A 27589-nucleotide genomic window follows, 5' to 3' on the forward strand; every position below is an offset into this window, starting at 1 on the left:
ATATAATACAATGGAATATTATTCAGCCATAAAAAGTAATGAAATACTGATGCATGCTACAATATGTGTGAACCTCTAAGACATAATGCTAAGTGAAAGAAGCCAGACACAAAAGATCACATACTGTAGGAGTCTATTTTTGTGAAATAACCAGAATAGTTAAATCCATAGAGATAAAATGCAGATTGATGATTGCCAGGAGACGGATGGGGGATTGGGAAGCAATTGCTTAATGGGTCCCAGGTTTTCTTTTTGGGTGATTAAAATGTTTTAGAACTAGATAGATCTGGTGACTGCAATATGTTGTGAAAATACCAAATGCCATTGAATTGTTCACTTTAAAACAGTTAATTTTGTGTTACGCAAGTTTCACCCCCACACAAAGTAATCCAAAAAAGTCTATTTTACCATGATAATTTCAAAAAATAAATTTAAAATCATAAAAAGAAAGAAACTAGAAAAAAAATAATTTGTAACTCCATGCTTAGATTACCTCCTTGAACAAAGCACAAAGGAAGAGTTAAGTTGTTAAATTCCAAAGGACTTTCCACTTCAGTGCATCAGGCTCTGTTCTTTCCCAAAATGCTCCTACAAAATGGTCACTCGCAGCTTTTGCCTTTGAAGACTGAGGCATTCTGGTGACAGGACCTCTTGTCTTCAACTTCTTGCCATTCTCACATGCACCATGTGACCATTCCATACCTTTGCCCATGCTGTTCACTCTGCCAGTAATACCATTTATTTTTTGCTTCTTCAGCTCATTAGTCATCCTCTAACACTCAGCTCTGAGATCTTCTCTTCAAGGAAGCATTTCCTGAACTTGGGGATGGCCAGACGACCATCCCCCGCATTCCCACAGTGCCCTGGACTCTAAAAAGTACTTAAACACATGAGATTGTTGTGATCTGCTCATGTGACCATCTTCCCCTCCAGGCTATAGGTTCTGGAAAAGAGAGAATATATCTTATTAATCGCTATTTTCTCCAGTATCTAGCATAGAGTAGGCATTCAAGAGTGGCTTGTTTGTGTGGATTTTGCTGTACATGTCTCATAAAAGGCTCTAACTGGGTTTCTGGGCAACGCCTAGTTTCTCCTGTTACCCTTACTTTAAAATAAACTATTATTCCCTAGGTTCTACGCTTTCCCCGTAGTTCTGTTAGCCTCTTGTGTATCCTTAATACTTGGAGCAAGATTTTTCTTCTCAGCCAGGCCTGTAATCCCAGCACTTTGGGAGGCCAAGGCGGGTGGATCATGAGGTCAGGAGATCCAGACCATCCTGGCTAACACGGTGAAACCCCATCTCTACTAAAAATACAAAAAAATAGCCGGGCGTGGTGGTGGGCGCCTGTAGTCCTAGCAACTCGGGAGGCTGAGGCAGGAGAACAGCGTGAAGCCTGGAGGCGGAGCTTGCAGTGAGCCGAGATCACGCCACTGGGCGACAGAGTGAGACTCCATCAAAAAAAAGAAGGAAGGAAGGAAGGAAGGAAGGAAGGAAGGAAGGAAGGAAGGGAGAAAGATTGATTTTGATTTTTCCTCTAACCTTTTCAGGACACTGAGAGTTAGAATATGTAGCAAGTCAGACTTTTAACAATTCCAGAATACGATGATGATTTTGACTTCTTTAGTTTATGCATATACACACAGAATCTGACAGAACGGCTAGAATTCTTGTTCATACCTGTGGGTGAATCAAACTCTTAATCAACCAGTCAGCAAAATGACCAAACTCCTACATCCTGCCAGAATCTGGCTCAGGGACACCTGTAGAAGGGTTTGAAGGCAGGGCTAATCCAATAGTGTGGGGACAGCCAGTAGTTGGTTGATCCAGGTTTTGCGGAGCTTGAAGCTTGTAAAATTTGGGAGACTTTCTTTTGAAAAGAATATAGATTTACAAGTACAAAATCTGGCTTGAAAAGTGAATATTTGTTTAGAACGGGAAAAAAAATCACAACAAATTGCTGGAGCCTACACGGAAACATATCCTGATTGCATCCTGGTTTCCCCTCCTCACTTAGAACACTACAGCACTCAACAAACCCTCAGCACACTCAGGAATTCATATGTGCAAGAGTCCCAAAGTTTAGGCTCTGTTAGCTTCCTAGGAAAGCCCCCTCTGGGCCAGGCCCTACAAATAAGATTAACAAGAACAATACCTGATGCTTATTGAGAAGAACTTGGCACCCCTGTATATTCATATAGTCTTTATCACAATTTTATAAGGCAAATACTATTATTGGCCCCACTTTATAGAGCTACCAGCTGCAGAGTCACTAGACCCACTCCCTGAAAGTAGCCCCCTCCTCAGTTATTTCTTAATACCACCTGTCTTCCCAGAAGGCACAAGCCAATCACATAGTGTGGCAGTTAAAATTGCAGGTTCTAGATTTGCGCAAACCTGGATTCTGAGCCCAGCTCTGCCCCTTAACAGCTGCTACACAATCTCTCTAAACTTCTGCTTCCTTAGCTTTACAATTAGTACATTATTATTTCTGCTTTGTGGCTATCTGCCTGGCCCTTGAAGGGGAATGCCTGTCAGATCCAAGAAGAAATGTATGTCCAAAGGAGGTGGGAGAGAAAATTCTCTTCCCCTATGATTTCAGAGAGCCACTGAAACCATGAGATCCCAAATATCATACAGATCCCAGGAATTCCTTATGTACTTCTAGGAAGCAGCTTAGGAAATAACAGAATCAGTTTGTTGCATTTGCAACCTATGAAATCACATGGCATTGAACCTGTATACAGCAGGCGCTACAAGTGCAATAACTGTAAGTCTGCTCTGTAAGCTGGATAGAGCCACTTCAATCCAAATTCACCAAAGCATAAACAGAACAAGTGACCAGTTTTATCTTGATAAATTTATTCACAGCCACACTCTTACCCGGAGATTGCACATGATTCTAACTGATAGTTCAAGAAGGTGGGAAAAGTTAAAATGGGAGACAAAAAGTAACTCAAAGTGTTCTCTCTCACCACTGTTCCCCAGCCTTCACTCCTCATAGCACACATTTTTGAGTTGCATGGAAAAGGAGTAAGAAAAAAGAGACTAGAAGGACAAAAGTTGATGAAAATCTGCAAGTCACCAAGGAGGTATGAGGAGGAATACAATTAAAAAGTACTCCATATTTCCCTTTGCACGTCACTGATTGTGAGCTACAAGGTACATCAATATTTTCAGTATTATAAGATGATGGACACTTCCTAATCTTTCCAGATATATGACTTTTAGTCACCCTTTCAAAAGGCATCAAAATATGCTATGTATTTTTTTAAATAAAACACTTTTTCAAAATTATTGCAAAAAAATCTATTCTTTCTGTAAGTGGAAGAGAGTTACTGCTTACTATTGGTAAAAGTATCCTAGCTTATTCTATTACTTGAGTTTCCCCTTATTTTATAATTTACTGTAAATTACATTTTTATTATTATTTGGGACATTTTGTGGTATTTTTTCCCAAGACACCTAAGGAAATTTGCAATGCCACCAACGTGATTCCTGTTTAGTTAAGCAGCTACTGCTCTATTGACTGTCTCTGAGATAGTGACACCCCCTAACCACTCAAACATTGTTCTGCTGTACCATTAAACGAGGCAGAAGGCATAATTTATTGGTTGATCCTACTGAGTAGCTGAAGTTGCTAATATGTTTTTTAAAAATCATATAATTTGTGATTCGTCGTATTATATACGACTTACCCTGGGTGACTGGCAAATTGGAATTTTTTAAGAAAAGGAAAGTTTTCAAGCATCAGTATATGACTGTTTTGTTAAAATGCAGAGCAACTGAGTACTTAGTTCAATAATGGACTTTTTACAAAGGCCATAACTTTTATATTAATAGCTACATTCTGTAACAGTATGTCAAAAAGCTGCATAACAGATCCTTTAGATCTATTACTGTCCCTCCAAACAAAACCTGTTATGCACAAATGCAACATCAAACAACAATCTGTAGCAGCCCATATTGCAAATAATCTGAGCAGAGTCCTGGGGGCCTCTTTAAAGGCTGGTCATGTTTTGCAATTACAAACACATATTCGACCTATCTGCAGACATGTATGTGCGTGCCTGGGTTCCTCCTCCCTTACCCATACACCCTTGGGGGAATCTGGAAATAGTTTTTCAACCGGTTTGCTCACACTTTCAAAGAAGTGCTTGGCTTCTGTTGTTTTTTTGCTTTTTATCATGACCAATAGAAGTGGAATCCAAAAATATCCATCCTAACCACACTAATAGAAAGCAATCAAATATCCAATCAACCCCCCCAGCCCTACCTACTATCCGCCTGCTCTCTAGGTAACATATGCAACTCGCTGTGGCTATGCGGTTACCACGGAGGGCTTTCCGGTTGCCTCTCCCCAAGGGTGTTTCAATAACCAGGCACAACGGGGAAAGCAAAGAGCTGAGTTTCCTACCTCACTCTGAATCTCCTCGTTTCCACGGGGGGTTGGGGGGCAGAGGGGAGTGTTCGCCAAATCCTTCATATTATTTGAGCACAGCTCTTGCAGGCTATTTTATTTTTTCTCAACGAGAACTTTCCTAGATGAGTAAGCGTGTTTGTCTTTAAGAGTTGTTCCAGGAGAGATCATGCATATTTCAGCCAGCTCCAGATGAAACGAGTTAAGCGATTCTCCAGCATGCTAATGTTTGAAAATGCCATATTTGTGCCATATTCAGACGTTTTACTAGGAACCCGACTTCAAGGCAGTCTCCGAGCCCCCAGCCCTCTTCCACCCCCTCCTACTCCTTTATGTATATATGTTGCATAATTATGGAGCAGTGAGTATTTATCACCTTTTCTGGGCAGTAGGCAGAAAGAAATACAATACCATTACTTCCAGTTACTGCTTTTCCCAAGATAATTAGGTAACACAGTGGAGGAGCCTTGGTAAGCCTAACGCTGTTCAAGTTAAGTGATTGACATGGCCCTGTCTGGCTGCTCTATTAACTGTTTCATTTTGTTGCTATTTGCAGTTTTCTTGGCTAATACTCCGAACAAATACGGACTGTTTCTTTAGCCCCTTTTTTCTCTTTGACCTTCTCCTGCCCATTTTCTTTGACTCACTTCAAACTGCCTTGAAAAGGCCTGTTGAATGCGCACAGTCCATCAGAGGCCCAGGTTCGTCCCTACCCTTGCCCTGAATGCCTTACTTCAAAGATGGCCCGCATTCTTTAATTGCCCTTTGAATTAATATCAAAGGGTCACAATGCGAGTGCCAAAAGAGAAAGGGGCTTTAATGAAGCAAAGAGCTGCCATTCATTTGCAGATAAGCACGTTTTTATGCCTGAACGGTCACCATGGCTAAAGGCTTCGTGAAGAGGAGGCTGGCCTGTGACTTACTTTTCCTTAAGTAGTGATTAGTGCAAACAAACAAGAGTAAACAAATTTTTTTAAAAGTCTACAAACAACGACAACATAAAATAAATAATAAGGCTAAATTCTCAAGCTGCACATTTCTCTCCCACCTTTCCATAAAAAAAAAAAAAAGTCGTACTTAATCAGCAAATCCCTTCACCATTTTTAATACCATATTTCAACATTTAAATTCCAAGGGCAAAGTTCAACAATATGCCGAGATAAAGTATTTTCAGTTTGAAATTGTGTGCCATGGGTAGCACAGAGGGAAAATGTGATGACTTTAACATAGAAGGAAAAAATGCCACCTTCACAAAAAATGTGCTAGTGAGCTCAAGACATAATTACTTTTGAAATGAACATTTGTGCTTAAACACTTAATTCTTTTAGTAGAAAGAATTTAGTTCGAGCCTAAAATAGTAAAACTGTATCTCTCTATCTACACATTTAGATAATATTTTTCCATTTCTTACAAAGAAATCACCATGCAGTGGCCACTGTCTGCATTGTCCCCTTGCAACACTGTAGCTGAGGCTATAGAATGAGCAAACCAACAGCACCAGAGGTCAACACAAGGTAAAATACAGCTCAAATCATAAATGATTACAGAGTGAAATAGTAAGCCCTGTTTCCCCTCTTCATCATTCTCCTTGCAGAGAGGTTGATGATTAAAGAAGGATTTCAGTCCTGGTGAATTATCATCTTAGCTCAAGCTCCGACTAGCATCCTTGGTGCTCAGCTACAAACTGAACCGTTGGCCTCCTGGTAGACATAACATTCAGACCATTGTCAGGGCTTCTCTCCCCTCACTGGATGCTTTGGTAAACAGAGTTTATGTTACCCTCAATGACGTACAAGGGAGGTCCTTGTTCAGATGTTTCCATCGGTCTCCAAAAGTGAGTTGCCAATTTTGCATTCGTGCAATAAAATTGTCGCTGCTAAGTTAAAAGAAAGAGAAAAAGAGAGAGGTTTCCCTTATCTTCAGGGAAATCAAAAGCATCTTCTCCTCACTGGCCTTATTTTCCATGAGCTTATCCATCTGGTTCAGAGTTGCCAAAATAGAGTGAAAAAGGGCAGCAAATAAATGTCAGAGAGCCAGCCAATCTGCATAAATCTCCAACTCCTTCCAGAGAAACTCCTTCCTGGCCTGCTGGGCCTTCCAATCTTGTGACATGAGCCAACAGACATCAGAACAATGTGAAAATCAAAAGACTTATTTTGCCCAAATCCAAACCCTTAAAAGCAGTTTCTCCCATACTAGTCTTTCACTAGATATGCAGCGGTGTGCTGCTTTGCAATAAAGCAATGTTATCCCAGTAACTAGGTCCCTTATGTCCTAGATATAGAATTAGTTCTGTCTATTTTAGACTGACCACAGGAAGATCCACTTAATCCTTGTTAAACTGCACTCTGAGACAGCAAGAAGGCAAATCAATCAGCTACCAAACCTTGTTTCAATGAGTACAAAAGGAATCAACAGATTCTAAGTAAATAATACTTTATATTTGCTCAGGACTTCTGATGTGTTCGCGGTCACTAACACAACAATCCTTTGAGGTAGTGGAGCAAATATTATCGCCTACATTGAAAAGGACTCCAGCTCAGAACACATAGTGACTTTTCCATGATCACAACTATTCAGAGAGTGAACCAGGACAAATCTCTTAACCCCAAAGCCTTTCATAAAGCCATGGTTATATCTGGTGTAGAACTAGACCTGGGCAGCCTGATGTCCTATGGATTCTTTACCAAAATCCGTAAGTGGAATAAACTTCAAGACCTCTGCAAATCCAGCTCAACAAGACACAAGAAAAATGTTTGGAACACATATTGCAATGCTTCCTCAGGATGCTATGGTCATGTAAATATAACTGTGACAAGTTCCATCCCAAACATAGTAATAATGGTGATGCTGATGATGATGGTACTGGTGACAGTAACGATTATATCTTGCAGTTGTCTAGGGCTTTGCACTTCCTAAAGTATTTTTACACTCACTATTTGGTGTAACCATATAATTCTTTGAGTTGAGGGAAAAACCTTTTTTTCACTTTAAGTGTCAAGGAATAAGGCAATGTGCCTTGATGCCAAGGGAAGTAAAGCATTTTGAAGTTTTTAAACCTAAATAACCTAGTCATTGAAGCTACCTAAGTAATAGGTTTCTTATTTCCTATGTAATTCTCAATAAAGCTGAGGGGTATTTGATACCCAAGTAAAATTTATATTCCCAAGGGACAAATCATTCATGACAGCATCCTCCTCCTAGCTACCTTCCCATTGGCAGTTTGAAAAAGATGCTTCTGAAATTCAGTTCCACATGAAAGAAGCCTTCTAAAGCTTAACCTGCAAGCTGCAAAAATGCAACAAGAAAGGTGTTCCAACTTCACAAGGAGCTGTTTTATCAAAGAATTTTCCTAGACTTAAATGAAAGCCTTGTCCAGATGCCTGCTGGACCTCTCTCCTGAAGGTTTCACTTTCTTCGCGTCACCAAGTCATGACCACAAAGCTGATCGTGTTGCATGAAACCATCCTACCAGACAACATTGACCTGGGATCTGATGAATGTTTAGTTCAAGAAACACTGCATAGTAGCCGCCACTGTTTATCCCAGTTAGGAATCAGAGGCACACTTAGAGGAAACTCTCATCTTCAATGGAAAAAAGAAAAAAAGTGCAGCAAGCCGTTCTGAAATGTGTAGAGTTACAAAAGTTGCATTAGCTTTAGTTCTTTAAAAATGTCATTATACCCCTTCTCCCAAGCACCAGCATGTTTCCCAAGCATGGAGTAAGTGTTATGTCAACTAAAGAGGCTTAAAGGGGAAGAAAATGTGATCTAAACAAATCTCTAGGAACAGACATCCTGCTGTAGGCTTCAATGGGTAACATTTGTTATGAAGTAATAAGAATTTGCATAATTTTGGGGAAGACTTTGTTTTCAAAGTAATTCTCTTTTTCACCTGCTTAGGCCTTTACCGTGTATGGCTTTGGTTAAGTTTTGTTGATGGAGGCTCATGTTTAACCAACTGTTTTTAATTTACAAATTAAACTTGTCAGAAGTAGAAATCCTTCCCTTGGAACTCTTCCAATATGTCAAGAATTAATTCTAATGAAAACGGCATTGCCTAAATGCGGGATGGCCAGTCACTTATTTTATTTACACAAAGTCCTTCTCAGTTTCTTTGATAAAAGCAGCTAAATCTTTTTCCTCTTTCATGTTTTGTCAGCACTTGATTCCTTTTGTCCCTTGGCTATTTGCCTAGCTGTGGACAATAAGGCAGGAAGAATAGAAGCAGATTGTTGGAATGGCCCTCAATAAACCTAATTATGACATGTTGACTGCCCTCACCATGACACAGTCAGGGGACCCAGGCTTATTCAATTACCCTTGCCAGGTTTCTCTTTCAGACCTAAAGTTATCCTTTGACTGTTTGTATTTCTGAACCGTATTCATGTTCATTGTGAAAGAAAATCCCCTGGACTTTGAGGGGTTTTTAAGTTGATGCTGTTATTGTAGCTAATTTTTATTAACTGAATGATAACATGATAAAGAAATAGACTTTTGTTATGTAATAAGAACAAATCAGTGTGTGCTTAAAGTTACACCTTTCTTTCCTTTCTCTTCCAGCCAGCCTGGCAGGACATGTAACCTGAATTAATAAACAAAATAATTTCTTCAACCAGCATGTTCCTTACAACATGATACTGAATCTAGCAGTATGGAACAGGGTTGTGGCTTCATTGTGACTCTTCTTAACTAAAAAAATATAACCACATGATTTTCGGGCTTGTGTGTGTGTGCACACGCCTGTGTGTCCATGTGTGTTTAAACACCAAGAAGGTTCTTTGCTCTATTAACACGAGGAAACATAAGTTCATTGGTACCTTTATGCCAACAGCTATTTCTTCTACTGTTTAAGGTAGACAGGATGGGCAGTATTTTATTAAACCTCTGGCTGCTTGTTGGAAGGACCCTTTCCTCCTCAAACAGATTGTTCGGAGATCATGCCAGTGGTTCCTGCAAAGCCAATGTATAAAAGCTGTGTGTCAAGTGAACAAAAGAGTGGAAAAATGAAGGAATGCCAAAAATCAGCTCCTGATCCATCCTAGCTTTTAAGTCAACTAGGTCTGAAAGAATTAATATTCAATTGTATTTAAAGCTGCACAAAGCTTAGCAGAAATGATTGTTATTTAGTTGCAGCATTTTTGGATCATTTCCCTTTCTTTTTCCTTTTTTTTTCCTATTGAGAAACTCATTGCTTCCTTTAGGTAATTTGACAGCTCTTAGAACTATAATCAAATAAAAATTCGACTAAAACATGGCAAATTCGGTGCTGTAATTTTTTAAATTTGCTCCTCAATTCATTCTCTTCATTAGAAAATGGCCATCTTTTGAATAAAAGCAGGTATAAATTGTAATCTGTTCTGCAAGTAAATTCGGAGTTTGGTACTTATTTGGTTCCTAGAAAAATTAGTGTTTTAATCCTAATGTGAGAAATTCACTTTACAAAGGACTTGTGAAATAAAATATACAGAATCCTTAATATGCTCTCTCCACTGTGCTCTGTTCTGCAGCTCCCTCTCCTCTCAAATGCAACAATTTCATTTTCTCCAAATTCTAAAAGGATATTTTTAATCTCAAACATCCAAAATGAATTGTACAACAGAGTCTCTAAGCCCTGTTATACATTATTAATATAAGTAATTTTGACAAACTATATATTTGTCTTCTTTTGTAGAAGTCATTCTATAGTTTCATTTTAGCATTTGTTGATTTCAGTTCCCTTAAGGAGTATAAATTTATATTTATATTAATATTAAAATCCCTCTGACCAACTATAAAAATAATCATCTTCGTACTTTAAATTTTTTAAAATCTCTTTTAATAGAGAATGGAAAATAGTAAATGTCTCAACGCTGTAGAGTTAACGTTCTTCCTAAATGTTCAAATTATTTTAACCAGCAAACGTAACCACCTCTATAAAGGAAGTTTTTTGTTTTTTTTTTTAAAGTCTGCTTTTGCTACTTTAGAGTGGAAATGTTTTTAAAATATCCAAGATGTCTCAATATTTTAACTTGAAGCATATGTATTTTCGCATTCCCTAAAATGTTTTAATGTTTTTATATAGTTAAACAGAATAACAACTCTTCTTCGAACCTCAACTAGCACTTCCCTAAGAAAACATGGAAAAAAAATAAGTAGAGGAAATCAATACTCAGATGGAGTACTGCTCACCACCCCAAGCTTGGCAAAGCATCATGAATGCCTGCCATTTTAAAAGCTATACAGTTATCTTGCTATTCAAAGTATATTAAACAAATTCACGCCATATCTCTCATAAATTCAACTTTTTCAAACCTGCTAGGACCCAATTCATGTGGCAGAATCAGTCAGTTTTGTCTGTGGATATGGAAAAGGGAGTCAATAATTTGAACTGTTTTGATTTGTATGGAATTACTCAACAAAAATCCTAATGTTAGCTAGAAGTGAAGTGGCTAAGATCAGATTTCTTCTTTAATCTAAAGGTCAAGTAGTGACTTTCTCTCTTATTAAATAAAAATTTTAATTTCGATTCAAAGTTCAAAATTGCAATATATTTGATCTGAGTACAGGATAATCACTAAGAAAAATAGAGACAAACTCATATGGTAAATAGCAGGGCTTATTATTCTGAATATACAAAGGGTATAGTTCTTCTTCCTAACATTCTCGTTTTATAATGTTTGGCTTCTATTTTAAAAGATTAGTAAATATTTTATGGCAATATTTGCTTACATGTGTTTCCACAAACCTATTTAAGATAAACTACAATAAAGCTTGAGCCATAGATATCAGGTATATACAAAAAATTATGCATGCAAATATTAGTTTGGATATTTTATATGCTCTAAAATTGTCTAGAACAAAAAAAAAACCCACCACATTTTCAAAGTGCATTTTACGTTGTTAATTTTACCATTCAGTCTTTGCAATTAAAAAGTGTAATATTTGAATGAATCATTGTCTACCTTCAGAATATATAGCTGAAAAGTCAATATGTTGTGTAGATGATTTTTGAAATAATTTTCCTCCACAAAAATAAAATAGTAAAAAAATGGGAGGATGAAACTTAGTAAAATCTCCTCTTGATAGGCTATGACATTTTGCTTTGGATTGTCTTCAATATAACAAAAAAAATATTTCTTACATTCTTTCCAAGTTTTTAAATACTTCAATGTTTTTACAAAAACAACAAAAGTTTTCAGATTTGAAATGCTCTCCTGTTTAATCTTCATGAGTTTTCTCTGAAACTCTGTTTGGCATTGAAAATTTTGATTTATTCAAATAAGATTTTTAAATATGTGAGTGTATATGTGTGTGTTTTAGTTAAGAGCAAACTCTTGTTTGCCCCAATCAGTTGGGACAACCGCTAAGTGTGAGCCATTAGGGCGTTAATTTAAGATATGACTTAGAATCATCTGAAGTGAATTCACTATTGTCTGAGTCTCCTTCTCTTCAAGACCAGACAGCTTCTAGCTTTGTGGTCAGTAGCCAGAAATCCTGTGTGTCCCTTTCTGGACACAGGAAGAAATCGTCCAGGCATAGACGAAAGAGGGAATGTCACCCTCCTGTGTAGCAATTCTAACTTCCCGGCAGAATCATGTGCAACCCATTGAAAGTGAAGCTCTCAAAACAATACCCAGAGGCCTTTCCAGCCTCTTCTGGAAGCCACAGCTTTGACAAGAGGTACAAGAAAGCACGCATCTCCCTGCGTGGAAGAAGAGCCGGTGTGTTCACCTGTGATACTGCACAGAAATGCTTCTTCCCAGAAGGCTTCATTTCCCACCTCCTTCCAGCACCTAAAGGCATCTTTTCCCTCAAAGACAAGGCAAGGTAGCAGTTGCTCACCTTCTAAGATATGAAGGGTCCCGGTCCTCTCCATCCTTGCCCTGATTCCCTGGCTGCCTGGGGGCCCCATGATTTCCTCAAGCGGCTGCCTGTACCTTCTACAAGTCTGCTGAGAGGTGGATGGGGCCACAGCTGCCACAGCCTGCTAGAGCTGGGAGAGACCGTGGCCTTCACCTCGCCCAGAGCTTCCATTTGTCAGAGGAGGGGAGAATGAGGTCCAGAAACGGAAAGCAACCAGGTCCCAGTAATAGTTTCAGAGACCTACAAGAAACATCTAGAAAGTGCCTAACACAACCTTTACAGCTAAGGGAACTAAGCCTCCCTGCATCCTCCAATTAAGGGTTTTGCCCACCTGCCCTTATGCAGTGAGTGGATATTTCTCATCTTCTTGTGAGGAGTCGGTCCAAGATCCCCCCTAAGGGGCTCCCTACAAAGACAGAGGATGCTGTGTAGAGTAAGAACCATATGGGTAAATTGTTAGTCAAACCCAGACTTTGACTTCTTGAAGCAAACAAGATAAGGCACAGGAAATGAAGAAGCACCCTGCGTATTCTAAAGTGCAAGACACAAGTTGGCACTGTTAGTATGTGGCTGTTACATGGTTGTGCTGACTCACACTTTACACACAGAAGCGTACCATCTCTCCCCACCTCTGCTGAACAAGGACAAGGGTAGATGCGGTTTTGTGGGACCTGAAGCTTTTACAATTTAGGGGGCTCCTCTTGAAAAAAAAATACAATAGATCTTAATTTTGCAATATTTACAAAAATCTAATGACACAGAGATGTTTTTAGGTGATCTGTCATGGATCCACTAGCTGTGGCTGGGGGTTGGGGAGGCTTCTGGCCAGGGAGGGCCAGAGGCTTAAATCTCCAGAGACTCCTAGACTCTCAGTCTTGAGACTCTTGAGATCCTCAGAAACAAATCACAGAAACAAACCTCAAAGGTGAGATTCCCATAGGTTCATTAGCTCCTTGCTGAACCCACCTTTTACAGGAACCCCTCCTGGGGAGACGTGGACCGTTTTTCTAGACGCTCATACTCCCTGTCATTATCTAATATTTATAAAACACAAATCAAGCCTGAGTGCCCACTTTGACAGTCCAATAGGAACACAAGATCATTTAAATCAAGCTTGTTCAACCCGTGGCTCACGGGCCATATGCAGCCCTGGATGCTTTTGAAAACAGCCCAAAGCAAATTCATAAACTTTCTTAAAACATGAGTTTTGGCCGGTCGCAGTGGCTCACACCTGTAACCCCAGCACTTTGGGAGGCTGAGGCAGGCGGATCACGAGGTCAAGAGACCGAGACCAGCCTGGCCAACATGGTGAAACCCCGTCTCTACCAAAAATAGAAAAATTAGCCTGGCATAGTGGCACGTGCCTGTAGTCCCAGCTACTCGGGAGGCTGAGGCAGGAGAATCGCTTGAACCCAGAAGGCGGAGGCTGCAGTGAGCTGAGATCATGCCACTGCACTCCAGCCTGGCAACAGAGCGAGACTCCATCTCAAAAAAAAAAAAAAAAAATTGAGTTTTTGTGTGATTTCTTTTTTTTTTTTTAGCTCATCAGCTATCGTGTTAGTGTTAGTGTATTTTATGTGTGACCGAAGACAATTAGTCTTCTTCCAGTGTGGCCCAAGGAGCCCAAAAGATTAGACACCCTGATTAAAATGGTCCATGAATACACTGGCAATTTCTGAATCCCAGATATCATTGGTGGACTCAATCCCAGTTGTTCCACTGAGACCCTTTTGGCTTACATGCTCCAAAGTGATTTGTTTCTAAGGATCTCAAGAGTCTGAAGACTGAGAGTCTAGGAATCTCTGGAGATTTAAGCCTCTGGCCCTCCCTGGCCAGAAGCCTCCCCCACCCCCAGCCACAGCTAGTAGATCCATAACAGACATCCTTTGTGCCCCAGTCCTCTAGAGGAGGGGAGTCTCATTTCTTCAGACCTCTGACAACTGTCCAGGAGCCACTAAGGATTTAAGAGCTCAGCCCAGACTTCTGCTCCTTGGGGAAGGTTGTGAGTTCTAAGGTGAGATGAGCCCCACAGTTCCTTCCTAGTCTATGGCTCTTGGCCAAAGAGACCCTTCTTGTCCTTCTGCTTTTTGCCAGGGAGCCCAAGGGACAAAAGCCAAGGCCCTTCCCTGGCACTGAGGAAGTGTGGGAAATCCACTTGTGGTGGAGGGATGCTCTTGGTCCAACCTGGCTATGTCTCCTCCTAGACAGCTCAATGGGGAATTGTGCCCTAGCAGGTCCTGCCCACCAGCAAGGAGCTCCTTCATAGCAAAACTAATCCTGTCCTTTCACAGTGAAGACAGGATCTGCTGAGGTGTGATTTTAGGGGCATCAGGAACCTATCTCCTGCCCCCACCAAACACGGACACCTGAAATTCTACCTTTAGGGATTCATTCCTTCATGGTAAGTTGTCAGCTCTCAGCGTCCTTTAGAAAAGAGCAAATACTTTCCATTTAACCAGTTAAAGGCTTAACCAGTTGAGTTTCTTTTGTTTTTGTTGTTGTTGTTGCTTGTCTGTTTGTTTTTGAGATGGAGTCTCACTCTGTTGCCCAGGCTGGAGTGCAGTGGTGCGATCTTGGCTCACTGCAACCTCTGCTTCCCAGGTTCAAACAATTCTCCTGCCTCAGCTTCCCAAGTAGCTGGGACTACAGGCACCTGCCACCAAGCCTGGCTAATTTTTGTATTTTTAGTAGAGACGGGGCGGTTTCACCGTGCTGGCTAGGCTGGTCTCGACCTCCTGATCTCAAGTGATCCGACCGCCTGGGCCTCCCAAAGTGCTGGGATTACAGGCATGAGCCACCACGCCCAGCCAACCAGTTGAGTATCTATGTGAATGAGGTAGAGCTGAGTGCAAGCCTGTGCGTGTGTGTGTGTGTGTGTGTGTGTGTGGTGTAGTAGTAATAGTAGTAGGAATGTACAAGGCAAATGGCAGGGACAGGGATTCAGGAAAGGAGAGGGAACAGCACCCAAGACTGACTTCACTCTTTTCACCTAAGGTCAGCCCACAGGGCCCTTTATGGAAGGAAAGTGGGGAAAAACATTTTCAAAGGGTTTGGTAGAGGAGGGTTAGGTGGTAGGAGAATTTTCAAGTATGCCTGTGAAAAGCCTACACTTGTTCTGGTAACATCTTTTCCTATAAATTGTAGTCTGAGTGACAGTTCTTTTTATTTTTCCTGAAGTTTTTCCATAAGAATTTTCCAAGCACCAGAAATTTCAATGTGAAAGATAGTCATTGTCTTACTTAATGAATTTAACTTGGGTTTTCATGTTACAAAAAAATAGAAAAGATACATTTCAGGGGAAAAAATGTTAGTTTAAACTAGTAACATTAAATTATAGTAATTCAATAAAATTATGAAAGTTAGCCAACAAAGATTCAGAAAAAAAATTGGCTCTCTGTGTCATTTGTATTTTATAATAAAGAAATGGTTGGTCTCCTTATCTGACCAAGGTATATACTGGCACCCCATTAGAAATAGAGTCCAAGGCCAGACATGGTGGCTCACACCTGTAATCCCAGCATTTTGGGAGGCTGAGGTGGGTGGATCACCTGATGTCAGGAGTTTGAGCCCAGCCTGGCCAACATGGTAAAACCCCATCTCTACTAAAAATACAAAAATTAGCCAGACGAGGTGGTGCGCGCCTGTAATCCCAGCTACTCAGGAGGCTGAGACAGGAGAATTGCTTGAACGTGGGAGGTGGAGGTTGCAATGAGCTGAGATTGTGCTGTTGCACTGCAGCCTGGGCAACAAGAGTGAAACTCTGTCAGGAAGAAAGAAAGAAAGAGAGAGAGGGAGAAAGAAAGAAAGAGAAAGAAAAGGAAAGAAAGAAAGAAGGAGAGAAAGAGAGAGAGAGAGGGAGGGAAGGAGGGAGGAGGGGGAGGGGAGGGGAGGGAGGAAGGAAAGAAAAAGAAAGAAAGAGAGAAATAAAGGGGAAGGAAGGAAGGAAGGAAAAAGAAAGAAAGAAAGAAAAAAGAAAGAAAGAAAGGAAGGAAGGAAGGAAGAAAGAAAGAGTCCTGTGCAATGGTTTAGTTTCAATTTTCCTAAAAAGGACAAATAATATAAGACAAAGGTATGCCGGGAAATGAGTGAGTACTTGCTTTGACCTCCACAAGAGTTGTATTTCCCTACTTTTTACTGACAACTCATTGAGCCTCTTACAAAAGCAAGATGAGATGGTCATCCCACTTATCCATTGGTTTTATGCTCAGGAATGCCCCAAGAAAGACCAGCTGATACTTTCCATAGACAAGGAGAAGACCCAGAGGAGCCAAGGCCCTAAAAGTTTACTGAGAAGCCCAGAAACTGAATCCAAAGTAGAACAGGCCTTGAGTTCCCATCCTGGCCTCCTACTTGGAGCGAATTGCCTGTATAATGGGGACTTGCCCAGTACCCAGGCATTCCTCTAACCCCTGCACTCTTAAGCCTGGCTCTTTGTAGTTTCTGACATGATGCTAAATCCCCAGTCTTCCATTCGACTTCTGCTCTCAGACAAAAATTCAGCAAGTATTTAGAGCTTGGCAGGGCCAGTGACCACAAACAGACACTGGCTTCTAGTAAGAAACTGTAAAAGTTGCCTTTCTGTTGCCCTCTGATAAATGTGTGTCATGTACACACGTGCCCCAGATGTGCCCTGTCTGCATAAAAGCCAAGCACATCTACCACCTGGAAAGTTTCCACGCTGGATCAATTCCCAAATGATATTCTGCTCTGGCATACTGCTAGTCCACCGGGGGCACCATGAGGAAACCACCATTTATTTGCTCAACTTGAAATTGACTTTCAGCTTTCTTTAGAAATGGTCTCAGAGGGTGTTTTAGATGACCCAGAACTTCCCAAAATGTAACTAACAATTCCAGATCCCATCTACTTGGGAATCACGAAACGGAAAATTAAAACATTTTCCCCAGATGAATTTATGTTCCACTTCCTATTTTTAAAAACTTACACGTTTATAAATCAGAAGCAAAGGGGCTGCTCTCCCCAGAAAACACCTGCTCTCTGACATTAAGCCTGGAGGTTTAAGTTCCCTGGAGGATGGCTCTGCCTGCCACTTCCCTTCACCTGTATAGATAAAAGCAGTCTGATGATCTGTCAGTAACCTAAAGCTTGGCCACTATGGGCCTAGAAGCAAATTATTTTATATGGTCTAAATGTTTGTTGAGAACATCACAGCAACTTGAGGAGCAAATGAAAATTTTCCATGTTGATATTAATCCTCTGTAGACTTTCCTTCCTGTGTGGAGAGCTGCATACTTTTACAGGTAGTAATCAGATGCCACAAACTATGAGCCTGATTCAACCCAAATTATGCAGAGCAGGGAATTTTTGAAAAGCTGCTTTTGATTTTTCTTAGCTCTTTGTAGACACTCTTAATGCAGGCCTGTTTCCATCCCCTGACTGACCCCTTTAGATTTCCATAGGCAAGTCAGAGAGAAGGCAAGAAGGGAATTGAGGGCACCTTGCTAGCCATCTTCCATCTAAGCACAAACGAAAGTTCTAGAATTAAGAAAATGCATCCTCCTGCCTTACTGGCACACTACATCCTGCACATTCCGGGCCTGGCAGCAAGAACAGTCAAGAAAGAAGACGTGTTTTTGGTTTTTTCTTATTTTTTTAAAACCAAATCAAGATTTTGATTTCCAGAAATAAATCCTTCGCCCCTAACTTGTTCTCCTATTTCTGAAAGGCCCATTCCTAAGAAGAAATGACTTGAAAGATTTGCTCTATAATATTCGCTGGCAATCATAGCTCCAGTTTTCTCGGGAGGGTTTTGAGGGGGTTGTATTTCTCGTATACTTGGAGCAGAGTCCTTTCTGGCTCATTTCACAGGCTGAAACGTCTAGCTTAGGTAGACCAGGTATTCAGCAGGACAACAACTGAATTCCATAGCATCAGATTTAAGGGAAAATAGACTGAAATGATTTGGTGGAAGCAAGGTTTTTGAAAAAAACATAAAAAGTCTTTTGTGCAGAGATGGGCATGGATATATACTCTCTAAAAATTTACAAATTAAAAGTCAGCCATTCCCAAACTCAAGAAACCCCTAGAGCATCCGGCAGCACTTCTGAAAAATAAATACAAGACCATATTTTCTTATACATAAACCACTCTCTTACTAGTTCAACCCTAATTTGGTGACCTTGGAGACAATTTTTCTTTTGTAAGTAAATAATTATAATAAGTTGCCTCTAAGTTGTTATAAAACTACCCACAATTTTTCTGGCTTACAAAGAAAAATAAAAATGCTTAACATAAAGAGACTACTTTTGATCGTGCCAAACTTAAATAAATAGTAAATAGGGAAAAAGTAGAATTTTTAAAAAGGAACCAATAAGTCAAAGAAAAAAGTTTTCCTTGTATTTAGAGACTGTTCCATTTGAAGAAGCAATAGAATATTGGAGGAATGTCCAGAAGGTAGTCATTGTTAGCAGAACAACTCTAAGCAGTAATTTTGAAACCTATGTTCCTACTCAGATATAGGGATAGGAGAAAACGTATCATTTTTCTTGTGCCAGTGCCCAAAGGCAAACACACTCCTGCACCATGATTTCTAAGAACTTCCCCACCATTTGGTCTCAATGCAGAAGCTAAATTCCACCAAAGCTACCAGAATTACAAATGTCATTCCTTTTGTCCTTACCAGGGAGGAATTATTTTACAAATAAACTCACACGTGTGCCAAATGGTGCTGTCAGATTGAAAACAATCTACATGTTGTTAAATAAGTCATCCTTTGCCAGTATGATGGAGTACTATGCAGCTATACAAACAAGACATTATGCAGAATAATTCCTGAGATATATTCTAAAGTGGACAAAAAAATCAAGGTGCAGAAAAGTTTATATTGTAGGTAGGGTACCATTTCTGCCAAAGGGGGAAGATAATATTTTTAAAAAGAGAGAGAAATGTAATTACTTGGTTGGCATAGAGTGTCTGGAAAAATGGTCAAGATACTGGCCACTAGCAGACAGAGGTGGGAGGAAAACTAGTCACCGTACATCCATTTATATCTTCTGAATTTTGTGCAAAGTGAGTGTTTTACCCAGTCAAAAATAAATACGATAATTTTTTTTTAATCTGACAAAGTATATATTTCACTTGAGTGTTTGGGTCAACAAGAGTGCAATCTTCAGAATAAAAGAACATTTCCCTTTGGTGGCTGAGAGTTGGCCCCCATAATCCAGGAGTCTTCTTGCATCTAAAAGCCTTCAGGGGGCCAGGACTGTCCAGAAGGAAGGCCCCATGGCTCACCAGCGAATTTTTATCAGTTCACTGGGGGCCCGGCTGGCCAAGGAGCTTCGGCTGCCTGCTGCGAAGCCTAAGCCGCAACAGCTGCATAAACTGGCTGTGCCCCAGCCTGACCTATTTTGGAGACAGGTCAGACCAGTGCATGCGGGGATAAGAAAACAACCTTCCTTGCAGCCAGTGGCTGCACTGCCAAGCTGCGCCAGAGGGAGAAACATGGGGGCAGGAGCTCTCCAGCTCCTAGGAGCCTTACTAGCCAGGCTATTTTCTTTTTCACTCTCACACTGCACCCCAATAACACAGGAGCCCCCAACGTTTTGGGAAGTAATGGAGGCAAATGGAACAGAACGGTCATTAAAATGTATCCTTCAGCTTGAAGAATGCTACTTTGGAAGGTGTCCTTAAAACTTCTTAGCTCCAGTTTTAAAGGAGAGGGAATTAAGAAGAATCATGCACAAAGAAAAAAGAATGCACACAACCTCACGTGCAGAGCTATAAAGACCTTTAAGAACAATGAAGCAGGCTGAAGAGGGGATATAATGAGAAACTGTGCAAAAACAATTCCCCAAAATGAAAGACTATAACAGCATTTTAGGAATAAGAATGGATGTATGAGACTCGTTTTCAAAAAAGCAACGTATTTGTCAATTCCTGATCTGCTGAAAAAACTTGTGCCAAATACAAAGAAAAGTTTGAGTTGGAGTTTCAAAAAAAGCCAAGTTAATCTAAAAGAGAAAAGTAACCTTTTAAGCTGGGAGGAAAAGTAATTAAGAAGCATGTTTTGACATCTCAGCTAATGGTTTTAGAATTTTATTTTTTATACCCATTAAATCGAAGTTTTTTACATTTAATAGTTGCTCATAAACTCAATTTTTTGACTTGGTGAAAGCAGACTTAGTGGTGTGGGGTGTGTGTCTGTGTGCGTGTGTGTGTGTGTGTGTGTGTGTGTGTGTTTGGTCTTCATTGTTGCTTCTAAGCCCTGAATTAGGCTTTATCTGCCCTTGGGCAGAGCCCATCTGCTAGTTTGTAGGCTGGTCACTTTCTGAGTGTTCAGAGATTATTTCCCCCCCGACCAAGACTTTTGAGTTTTGCTGCTAGGTGTAATTTGCACATAATATGCACCTTCTCATTTCATTCTCACAGAATCCTGGAAAGCTGGTATGCAGTTCCCTATCTTAGAGATGTCAAAACTGAAGTTCAAAAGGTCACAACTAAAATGTGCTTGGTCTCAATTTTAGAGCAAAATTGGTGATGCAAGAACAGACCACTTTCACCTTGGGTACTGTGTTTTTTATAAGGCAAGAAAGATCTGAAAAGGTACTTTGGAGTGTGTTTAAATCAAACAAGACAAAAAGCATTCAATTGCTTTAGTGAACCTCAATTGGGAAACTGGCCAAGTGGGGATTCATAAAGAAGAAACCTATTGCTTTTCTTATAATAAAATGAATTGGACCAATTAATTTTCTTTAGTTCAGGTTAAGCTCAACCGTGTTGATTGAGACACACACATGCACACATGCTTTGGCCAAGATTTTCTTAATCATCACATTACATTTGAATATTGGAAGAATTTAAATATATGTTTGAAGACAGATTCTATGAATCTATAATCGTTTAAAAATAAAATGCTTTTGAAAGAAAGAGGTAGTATGAAGGAAACTAGGAAGTTAGTACTCAAAGGCAAGGGCCAATGAACTGGGTAAGAACCAAGAGCCTGTGAACTGGGTAAGTTATGCCGACACTAGAGTTTGCCACTAAAAGGGTAGGGGGCGAAGAGGGATATGTTTAAAAGTCATTTTCATTTTCTGTATATATGCACATTTAGCATATCTGTGTGCCTGTAAAAATCACAAAATAAAAATGTAGACTTTCTATTTAAAATGCAAATGTGTATGTGACCGTATCAGCATTGACTATGAGAGTACACAATAATTCCATGTTGCAATACAAATTTCATAGCAATTAACTTTTCTTTCTTAATATTCTACCCTAACTTACTTATTATTTCCAACCATTAACACAAGACCAAATACATTTAATTCTACAGTTGTTTCCATAAATATGCCTACTTTTCAATTATAAAAATTTTGAAAATCTACATTTAAGTTTTGATAAAACTATACTACTTAAATTATCCATATGATCCTGTAAATTTTTAAATGCTGAAAATCAGTGGTATTTCCTCTCCCTCAATTCTATGTTGGTCAACCAAGAAAAGTCTCCCATCCCTGTCACAAAGCATTTTGATCAGCTATTTTTTTTTCCTGAAACGGAGTCTCGCTCTGTCATCCAGGCTGAAGTGCAGTAGCACGATCTCGGCTCACTGCAACCTCCGTCTCCCAGGTTTGAGCAATTCTCCTGCCTCAGTCCCCCAAGTAGCTGGGGTTACAGGCGTGTGCCATCACACCCAGCTAATTTTTATATTTTTAGTAGAGACAAGGTTTCATCATGTTGGCCAGGCTGGTCTCAAACTCCTAACCTCAGGTGATCCACCTCCCTCGGCCTCCCAAAGTGCTGGGATTACAGGCGTGAGCCACCGCGCCAGGCGGCTTGATCAGCTATTTTTAAACAGAATATGTTGGATTAGGTCCAAGATGCGTGGGGAATTGGCTTCCAGAATTCAGTTGATATTCACATACTATTACAGATACAGTAAATATGGCCAAATAAAAGTACATAAGAAAGTATAGTCAAGGAATTACTGAATGAGTTTAAGGAGCCAAACACACAGCCAGTTTAATAGTTGCCTATCTTGAGTTCTAATCTGTTTTGCTAGGGAAGGTAATTTATCAATCACCTCAGTAAGAGGTGGACATAAAAACTCAGACTACTTCAATCAACTTACTTTACCACAAAGTGGAGGTGTTTTGTTTTGTTTTGTTTCACTTAAAAAATCCTGCAGCAAAATGTAAAATGGTGCGAACTTTGCTGTATGCAACGTGCAAGGCAAAATCCTTTCTCAAGATTTTCCTTTCCCCTAGAAGAAATGTGCATCAAATCAAATTCTTAACACTGTTGCCCTTATTTAATACAATTTCATTTTCAAAGACACATGGCCACTTCAACAACAGAAATTACCTGTTGGTGGTTTTTAAAAAGATTTGTCAGGAAGGAAAGAAGGAAAAGAAGAAGATAAGAATTTATAACACCTATTATTCCTCAACAGTCTTCAATAACTATATTTCATGATTTTCATATCTCCCTTTGACAATGGTGAACTTTCTAATTCTTCTCTCGTGAATTGATGTTTTATGATGTTAAACAGGCATTTTGATAACTGTGCATATTCCAACTAAAACTTGGAAATATACATATTCTCTTCATTTTGGAGCATGATCTCAGCTTAGATAATTTGAAGAAAGCCTTCCTAAAGGAGAGGTGTTCTGCTTCCAGTAAAAGCTCACAATGCTATTGGAGCTCAGTATTTCCCAACACTGTAGGGTAGAGCTAAAAGCTGAGTTGTGTCTTGCTCTACCGAAGACTGGTGTGAATGGGACAAAACTATCTTTCCCAACAGGGCAGAGGATGGCCATTAGGGGATTAGTCTTTTCAATAACCTTTATTAGGAAGGAAAGAAAGAAAATAGGTATTGAAGGTAAGAATTTATAACACCTTTTATTCACCTATTATAGAATTATAATACCTATTGCTGCTTTGGTGTTTATCTTCCAGAAAGATGACAATACCTGAATTTTCTTCAGAAATGTCTGAAATTCCTTTTCACAATTCCCCAACTAAAGGCAGCCGGTTCTTGGGTCAGCAATTTTGAGTTGGTACTAAGATCAGGCCCAACTTGGAGCTGGAAGATGCTGTCCCTGGGGCAGTGTGTGAATACACGGCCTAATATCCAAGGAAGAAAAGTTACTTGAACTCTGTATGTATACAAAATATACATTTGAAATATATGACAAAGAACTATCTAATGCTATATCTAGACCCAGGACATGGGAACCATAACAAATCTGAGCTAACTGTAACTTCTAGCTTAATCTATTTCAGGCAGTTGTTCTACACTGCAATGTTTGGTAGTAAATATTTTACATCAGAGAGCATTTGAGCACAGATGGATTATTAATTAATAGGAGGATTATAATAGAAAATATTAGATAATACCCACCAAAATTCTGCTCTGTATGTCAAGATTCATCTTGCTCAAGAGTGAACAAGAGTAAAAAATAAAACAATAAAGCCTCATGCACAACTTTTTAGTACTGAAATGAGCACAAAGAAAGAGATTCGAAAACCCCACACACAGGCAGATCCATGATGCACAGTTACATATCCAAAGCCTAAATCTGGCATGAATTTTACAACCTCAGTTAGTGCTATTTGTTGGAATTTGCAAATTAAGCACAGAGATAGTATTTCCAAAAGATTCGTTTGCAGGATTTTTGCTTTCATAATAAAAGAAAAACCTATGCAAATATATTGTGTTCTTAAACAAACAAACAAAAGTCGGATAGTTCATCTCAAAATCAACAGTTTAAAAGAGTCATAAAATGATTCAAGGAAATATTTCTCCTGGCATTCAACAACTGGGAGGCTGTGCTGTTACCTCAGTTTCTGATGACTTTAGAAAGTGCAATCCATAGGACAAACATATCTTCATTTTGTGCAACTAAATATAGTTTAGTGCCAGCATAATTCTTAGTGTAATAAATAAACTCTAACAATGCACATACATACACATAAACACATATCTATTCCTAAATTATAGAGGATTGGAAATATACATGAGAGTCATCTAACCATCTATAAACACAGAAATTATGGAAACACGTGTAGAGAGATGTAGTCAATATAACACTCAGATTCCTGTGTATTTAATTATTCCCTACCTACTTTTACATAAAAATCTGCTATGTTTTCATTAAATAATTCCAGCTTGGAAGACAATTTTAGGGAAACTTTTGTATTTAGAAACTTAGCAACAGGCAGATAGTAGCTGCCATGCTTTCTGCCACACCCCCCCAAAATGAGAATCTATTTGATGATAAATTCACCATCATAGCCTCAGTTCTAAGTAAGAAATCACGATAGGATAATTAAAAACACCCCATGAGTCTTCTCTACAAACCTACAACATGTAACTGGTTTCAGTTCCTATTTCTTAAAGAGAATTTGGTCAATTCCTCCTTAGAGATTTCAGAGGAAAAGAAGGATTTTCCAGGACAGATAAATTGAAATGATCCCGCTTTGATCTCTATGGTTAAGAACCCCTCACAATGGAAGATGACCACTGAGGGGCCGCGCTCCCGGCCTTTTAATGTGTAACAATGGTATCAACAAACAGCTACTTAATCAATATTTGGCCAGAGCTGCTGAAAACTTCCTTTTCAGATTTTAATTCCTACTTGTAAAACAACCCCAGAGCAGCCAGTGAGATAAGACATTAAACTGACTGCTTAATTGCCTTTTAGTGTCTTGTTAGTTATATATGTACATTCTAAATGGTTCTTTAATCTTTATTTACCCTCATAGATAAGTTACCTGTCATACAGAATCCAATCGAACGTAAAACATTTTCTGTTCCAGCCCAAGCCAAACTCTCATTTCTCACCGTTTGTTTGTTGTTACTGTTGCAGCTTTTCATTTTCATTGGCCATCTACTTATGTACAACTTAAACATTTAGTCTCATAGGAAGAATTTTTTGTTGTTGTTCTCAAAATATATGCATTCATGGATGCTGAAGCCATTCGGATTTAGCGGCCACACTCCTATTCACGTGATCGATTTCTGCATATTCCACTCGCCTGAACCGCCGCGCGCTGACTGGTTCCGCCTCACCGCCCGGGTGGGTTTTATTGCTCAGCCCTGGGGACTTTTAAATGACCCTTCAGTAATTATTACTCAGTAGAAGCCCCTACGTCCTGGTTCCGGTGCTATCAACAATCAAATCAAACCCCAAAATAAACATACGATTTCAAGCATTAATTAGAAAATCTGCATGTTTTCAATAAAGCTCTAGAAGGTAAGCACACAGCAGTCAACCAAACCAAACAAGCGAAAAAGAAAAAGCTAGGAGCTGAACTCTGGTGTTTCCTTTCAAATCGTTCCAGCAGGAAAATTGTTACCGCGACATTAATAAATAGAACACGGCGTGGTGTTCTAATAGAATTCAAGTTCTGATACTTCCAATATTTTTTAAATGGATGATATTTCTTTGCTGAGTTTTGCAAGGACTTCAGAAAATATGAAGTTTTCTCTATAGAATCGAAACGACATTGAAGTCAAATTCGTGATCCTAACAAATGGACTTGGAAAGTGGGCTGGTCTGTCCACTTGAATAAAGGATCCGATGCCATAAACCTATGATCTTATACCCAATGATTTTAATCTATGGGAAAGTTCGTCCCCCGCCTTCCCCTCCTCCCAACCTTGGACCAAAATGGCCCTTCCTGCTCACTAACCGGGAAAGAAACGGCCCTTCGTTTTCCTTGATTTCAGCAGTCCCTTAATGATAAGAGTGCTCTTTTCATGATTTCACTGGAAATAAAATACTCCAAATACCTTTAATGCTTTTCTGCGTTTTAAACTGATTAATCTTCTCCTACCTCCCCCCCAAAAAGCTGAAGTCGTCCTCGTTAACTTTACAAAAGCTGACAAGCTTACAAATAAAATGGAAACTTGAGCAAAGCTTTCGTCACTTTTACTTTCTCCAATTTTTTAAGAAAGCACTCTTTTTTGTAAACGTCAAATAAGAGGGAACAGATAGGAAAGGAATATAAGCCCCCAACAGACCTATGCTTGAGATCTCTTAGTGGGATCTTTTAAATTGTTGCAAACCTCCCACGCTCACTTGTGATTTTAAAAGGGAGGAAAGTCTTATGAGAGTGTATCGCCAGTCCCCAATCAAAACATCAATTTGGCAATCTGGCCTCTCTCCCCCTGCGCTCCGGAGCTGCCACTTCAAAGCTGCTACAACAAGTCAGTAATTGTAACTTTGCATCTAAATATTTAAGCGAGAGTCTTGCAGTCGCGTGTCCATTTACAGTCCTCAACTGTCCTCTAATTCCATTACTGCACAAAGCAAAAATGTTTCCCAAAACTCACAAACAGGAAAAGCGTCACCCTGCTGGAGGGGGAGAAGGAGGGGTGGAGGAGGAGGAGGAGATGATGAAGGGGCAGTTTCTATTGATTAGTCACCGCTTTTGTGTTAAGGGCTTTCTTTAAAATAAGAAAAAAATGGGGGGAGGTTGCAGAAATTTCACTAATGTGAGCCTCAGGCAAGGGAGGAAAAAAAAAAAGAGGAGAAGAAGGGGGGAGGCGGGCTGTGTCTAGATGAAAGTGAGAAGGACATAAAGGAGGCAATTGAGTCGGCTGCAGCCCGGCGAGCTAAGCTTCGAGCCGGCCAGAGAGTAGGGGAGGGGGCGGAGCGGCGCGGCGCTTTGGCGCAGAGCACAGGAGTGGGGGCCCAGCCCATTGTGGCGGCGCCCGCGGGCCCGCTAGGCCGAGCCGGGGGAGGAACAGAGGCGCCCATTGAGCGGCCGCTGCGCAGGGCGGTGCCCACAGCCCCGGATGCCTCGGCCAGGACTTGGCTCCCCCGGCTGCCTCTGCTCCAGTCTCAGCGCGGGCCAGGGGCTAGGGGGATTGGGGATAGCGGGCGGGGTTCGTGTTAGTGAACCGCCCAGCCCTCTCCTTTCTCCTGGGCTATGGAGCTGGAGGGATGTATCCAGCAAGGGTGCATCATGCTTAGCGCGCGCCCGTTAGGGAGCGCGGGCCTGAGCGCACCAGCACCGCTAGCGGCTCAGCTCTTGAATTGAGCGAGGGAAAAGGGAAAGTTGGGAAAGTTAAGAGGACCATCTGGGAGAAAGCCACTGGAGAGAAGAATGAGGTGATTCTGACCTCATTCAAAGTGGCTCAACCCTTTTGTCCTAGTGTCTGCCAAGCAGACCTCAGGCCAAAGATTCCCCTGAAAAGCCAGGCTCAGCAGCACCCACCAGACCCACTAACTGGAAAAGGGCAAGAATACACCACACTGGTCAGGGGACCCCAAAGTTCCTCCTCCCTCAGCTTTCTTCTCCCCCTCTGCCAGGGCGCTAAGAACGCTTTATCAACATTCATTCTATTTTACAAGCGGG

The 27589-nt window shown here is 40.3% G+C and overlaps 1 protein-coding gene across 6 annotated transcripts in view, besides 3 other annotated features; it reads right to left on the reverse strand.

The window, feature by feature from the left end:
* Nucleotides 1–27589, reverse strand: part of PAX3 (paired box 3) — a 99112-nt gene that overhangs the window by 64296 nt on the left and 7227 nt on the right. The gene's annotated exons all lie outside the window — the stretch shown is intronic.
* Nucleotides 8298–8901: an enhancer, noted in NCBI's record as "NANOG hESC enhancer chr2:223137199-223137802 (GRCh37/hg19 assembly coordinates)". NCBI's record gives its function as "activates a minimal SCP1, AML or CMV promoter by ChIP-STARR-seq in naive H9 embryonic stem cells {active_cell/tissue: H9 hESC(naive)}" and the evidence as "EXISTENCE:reporter gene assay evidence [ECO:0000049][PMID:30033119]".
* Nucleotides 25676–26589: an enhancer, noted in NCBI's record as "NANOG-H3K27ac hESC enhancer chr2:223154577-223155490 (GRCh37/hg19 assembly coordinates)". NCBI's record gives its function as "activates a minimal SCP1, AML or CMV promoter by ChIP-STARR-seq in naive and primed H9 embryonic stem cells {active_cell/tissue: H9 hESC(naive and primed)}" and the evidence as "EXISTENCE:reporter gene assay evidence [ECO:0000049][PMID:30033119]".
* Nucleotides 26590–27503: an enhancer, noted in NCBI's record as "NANOG-H3K27ac hESC enhancer chr2:223155491-223156404 (GRCh37/hg19 assembly coordinates)". NCBI's record gives its function as "activates a minimal SCP1, AML or CMV promoter by ChIP-STARR-seq in naive H9 embryonic stem cells {active_cell/tissue: H9 hESC(naive)}" and the evidence as "EXISTENCE:reporter gene assay evidence [ECO:0000049][PMID:30033119]".

This window comes from Homo sapiens, chromosome 2 (genome assembly GCF_000001405.40).
Source record: "Homo sapiens chromosome 2, GRCh38.p14 Primary Assembly".
In the NCBI taxonomy this organism is placed as follows: domain Eukaryota; kingdom Metazoa; phylum Chordata; class Mammalia; order Primates; family Hominidae; genus Homo; species Homo sapiens.